Source organism: Homo sapiens, chromosome 18 (assembly GCF_000001405.40).
Source record: "Homo sapiens chromosome 18, GRCh38.p14 Primary Assembly".
NCBI classification, from domain to species: domain Eukaryota; kingdom Metazoa; phylum Chordata; class Mammalia; order Primates; family Hominidae; genus Homo; species Homo sapiens.
The window spans coordinates 77,336,340-77,340,356 of NC_000018.10; the positions used below are offsets into that span (position 1 = coordinate 77,336,340).

Here is a 4,017-nt window from a genome sequence, read left to right on the forward strand (position 1 = left end):
GCCTCTGCTCAAAACTGGCCATACCAATATGTGGTTAAAACATTTAGAAGATGCTGGGAAAGACCATCCTGGATTATCTGGGGGACCCTGGTGTCCTCACAGGGGCCCTTCTAAGAGGGAGGCAGCAGGGTCAAGGGCAGAGAAGGCGATGAGTGGATGTGAGCAGTGGGAGGAGGTGGAAGGGGGTCGAAGATGCCACGCTACTGGCTTTGAAGACAGAAGAAGGGACCATGAGCCAAAGAGCACATGTGGCATCTGGAACCTGGAAAGGCCAAAGACAGATTCTACCCTGGAGCCTGCACAGGGAACCGGCAGCACAAATCCCTTGGCTTCAGCTCAGTAAAGCTCATTCTGGACTTTTGGCCTTTAGAATTGTAAGAAGAAACAAGAAAGTGTGTTGTCTTAAGCCATCACGTTTGAGGTAATTTGTTACAGCAGCCATGAGAAACTCATACACGTTCCCTTAGGGAGCAGTTTGGGCCACTGGATTCCTAGGAGCTGAAATGCAGTCTGTCCAAGAACTCCAGGCCATGGAGACCTTTCATGGGATTGCCTCGTTGCAACGCAGATCTTCGTGAAATGTAAACAGTATCAAGATACGATTATATCCACTAACCAGGGAATTAACATCACATGTCATCAGTTATTCCCAGTGCCGGGGTGTCAGTTAACCTCCAGTGGTTTCCTTCTGAAGATTCTCTGGAGGCTACGAAAATCAAATTTTGGGGAGGTAAACTTGTCTCCACAATCACAACACTCTTGAAATTGAGAGAAAAGACGAACAGAGTTTTCTGTAAAAGAAACTGGAAAACATCAACTACCCAAGGAGACATTTCTAATCACTCTGGGCTACAGGGATGAATCTTTCTAAGATACCAATGCATCCTGGGAAATCCTCTTCAATTCGAAACATGACTACAAATAGGAAGGACAAGATCCCAATCTCCCCCCGTCCCCTCCCTTTCTCCAACATGACAGCTCAGACAAGAAAGCAGCTGCCTCTCGGTTCCTACCACATGCACCTGCCTGGAGGAGGACTTTTTTCTCCTTCTCTTCACTGGTTTGGAGGTGATTCTTTGTCTGTTCCTACCATGTGCACCTGCCTGGGTGAGGCCTTTTTTCTTCTTCTCTTCATTGGTTTGGAGGTGATTCTTCGTTAAAGAACAAAGTGACCTTGTCAGAGAATTACAGGCAGACTAAATGTTCAACTTAGCAGAAAGTCTGCCTTTGACTTACAGTATAATCGCCAAATGCAGAAGCTTTTTCTGTGGTCAGAAGGCTGAATGCCGAACATCAAGTCTTTCTGCCATCAGAGATGAAGCTTTGAAGAAGCCACGACCTTTCTTTGTGATGCGCGACACTGGGAAGTGAGCAGGGCTATTCAGCACCAATTGAGTGCTTTAAATAAAAAATCCTGCTTTTTTTCCCCTGTACCTGAAGCCTATCAACCAGTGCCTATTAATCAAAGCAATGCTAGCTGCCACACTGATTCTCTGCTTTCTCATTTCTAATGAGGAAACATCCGGGTATTCCAATGACTTTAAACAATATGCAGTCCCTTTGCACAGTGTTGACACAAAGGGTTCTTCATGGTGAGACATGTTGGCTTGAAGGCATGGCTCTTTATTAAGTGAAAGTCCGAGGTTTGACACGAAGAGATGAAACAATGTTAGCTACTCACTTGGATGGTCTATCCGTTGCTGACTAGTGTAATTAAACAAACTAATTGGTAAACATTGTGTAACCATACAAATGCACTAGAAAACAGGAAAATGTATCCACATATAGAAAACAATCCCTAGTGAAAGGCTGAGACAGGAATTTTATTTTTATAAAAGGAGCAGGAGAGCAGGAGGAACTGATGGGTAGCACACTGTGGACAGTATACTTAGAAAGCTACAGACAAGGTATCGTTTATTTTCAAAACAATGCCAAGAACATTAAAAATGCTGTTGTACATAACTTTATTGTATGTTTTCAGTTTCCATTCTTGAGGAAAGGAAAAGATTGGCATTTTTCTTAAATGAGTAATGCATTTAATGAAGTAATTAAGCAGCTCAGACACTCACGGCTTTTGCATGACAAATAAGTGTTCAGAAATGAAAACTGACAGGCAAAATGCCCTCTTTAGGAGGAATGACATGAGTCTGCATTCTTATGGGGAGGGCTGGCAAAAAGTGGGTTTTCAAGTGGAGGTGCCCGAGGTGGCAGGGCGAGTGGGGCAGCCCCACAGGGGTTGAGAGGAAGGAGACAGGTAAAGGGAGGCTGGATCTGGGGGTGGGTGAGAGAAGAGGAGGGAGAAGTGGGTGGAGGAGCCACCCCAGCTGACCTCTGAGCCTGACAGTCAGCAGCACAGACCCCCGGAGGAGGCTGGGCATTGAAGATGGCATCCTCCCATGAGGGAGAGGAGAAAAGTGGTCCCAGACACTGCACCCATGTGCACTAATTTAATCCTCACACAACATACTCAACGGATTAGGTGAAATTTCTTTCTTTTCTCAATGAAACCGAGTCACAGACATCAGCCATGGTGATCAAGGTGACCATGGTCAAGGCTGAGAGCTCGGCTGGAGTGTCTGATTGTGCTCTGCCCACGGGGTGTGTGGGGCCCTGGGTGGAGGGGAGGGGGGATATACCCCATGTGGCACAGCTGGTATCACATGGTTTCCAGAAGCAGGCGGAACCACATGCCACGGGTTCCTGAGACCGTGGGACAGGAGACATATTGGGACAGTCACAGGGAATAACTGGCTCACTGGTGCTTTGGGTCTTGATCGGACCTGCAGTGTGGTGTGCCTGAGTTTCTCACCCAATACTCTACTACCACACCACGTGCACACAACAGTTCCCTTCACAACTGGAGGGACAACAGCCTGGAGCCAAGGGTTTCTGGATTGCAGCTTGAACTTTAAAAAATGCTCAGGGCAGAGCACTCCCCACTCCCACACTCTTGCTGCTGCCCGCACGCCGGGTTGTGAAACTCCCAGGGGTCTCTCTGCCTGGAGTTGTCCCAGCTCCTTCACAAGTGGGGGCAGGGATGTGAGAGAGATTGGGCCAGGTGTCAGCCCACAGGCTGTGCAGGGCTAAGGGCATGCAGGGGTCGAGGGGAGCCAGGGGCTGGAGAACTCTGCACACAGGAGTCCACCCAGGAGTGGGTGGCAGGGAGCTCCAGGCAGGGTGAGGGCTGGCAGCTCCTCTGCCTGGGTGTGGTGGCAGCTGTGACCTGGCTGGAATAGCCCATTTCCCTGCAGCAAGAACCTGAGAAGCAGGTGGGCTGGGCCTGTCTGCCCATCTCATCTGGGGAGATCTGTGGCCACTGGCCACGTGCTCTAGGACACCAGGATCTCTGGGTCTCAAAAGTTCCCTATTAAAATGCTAACAGTGCTCAGCGGGCCCCCAGCTCATCACCGAGCCCTGCAGAGGGATGTGGTTCTCGAGCCTGTGTCTCTCCTGAGGGAGCCTGGATCGCAGCTCCCTGGACCTCCATAGCAGTGAAAATAACAGCTTACGTCACTGACCGCCTCTCAGATACTTCATGCTGATGGGACAGAATTAATTGAATTCCAGAGCTGGAAAGGACTTAAGAAATCACTGATTCCCAATGTCTCCTTATGCATATTGAGAAACCAGGGATCCCCAGGGCAATGGGCTATCTGTGTGTTTTCCCCAAATCCATGCCTGGAAATCCTCCTTTTCAGCATGAGGATGAGCAGGTGGGGCTCTGGGAGGGGGTTAGCTCACCAGGACAGAGCCCTCAAAGATGGGGTGAGTGCCCTTATGAAAAAGACCCCTGAGAGCTGCCTTGCCCATCCCACCATGTGAGGATGTGGCAAGAAGGTGGCCGTGAGCTGGGAAGTGGCCCTCACAGGATACCAAACCTGCGGGGACTTGATCTTGGACCTCCAGCCTCCTGAATCCTAGAAGTGGGTTCTGCTGCCTATAAGCCACCTGGACTATGGTATTTTGTCATAGCGACCCCAGCTGACTGAGACATCCTGTGGGCTTCAGCTATTTCCA

At 49.4% G+C, this 4,017-nt stretch overlaps 1 annotated feature.

Annotated features, from left to right (window-relative positions):
• Positions 2,551-3,102: an enhancer, noted in NCBI's record as "H3K4me1 hESC enhancer chr18:75050846-75051397 (GRCh37/hg19 assembly coordinates)". NCBI's record gives its function as "activates a minimal SCP1, AML or CMV promoter by ChIP-STARR-seq in primed H9 embryonic stem cells {active_cell/tissue: H9 hESC(primed)}" and the evidence as "EXISTENCE:reporter gene assay evidence [ECO:0000049][PMID:30033119]".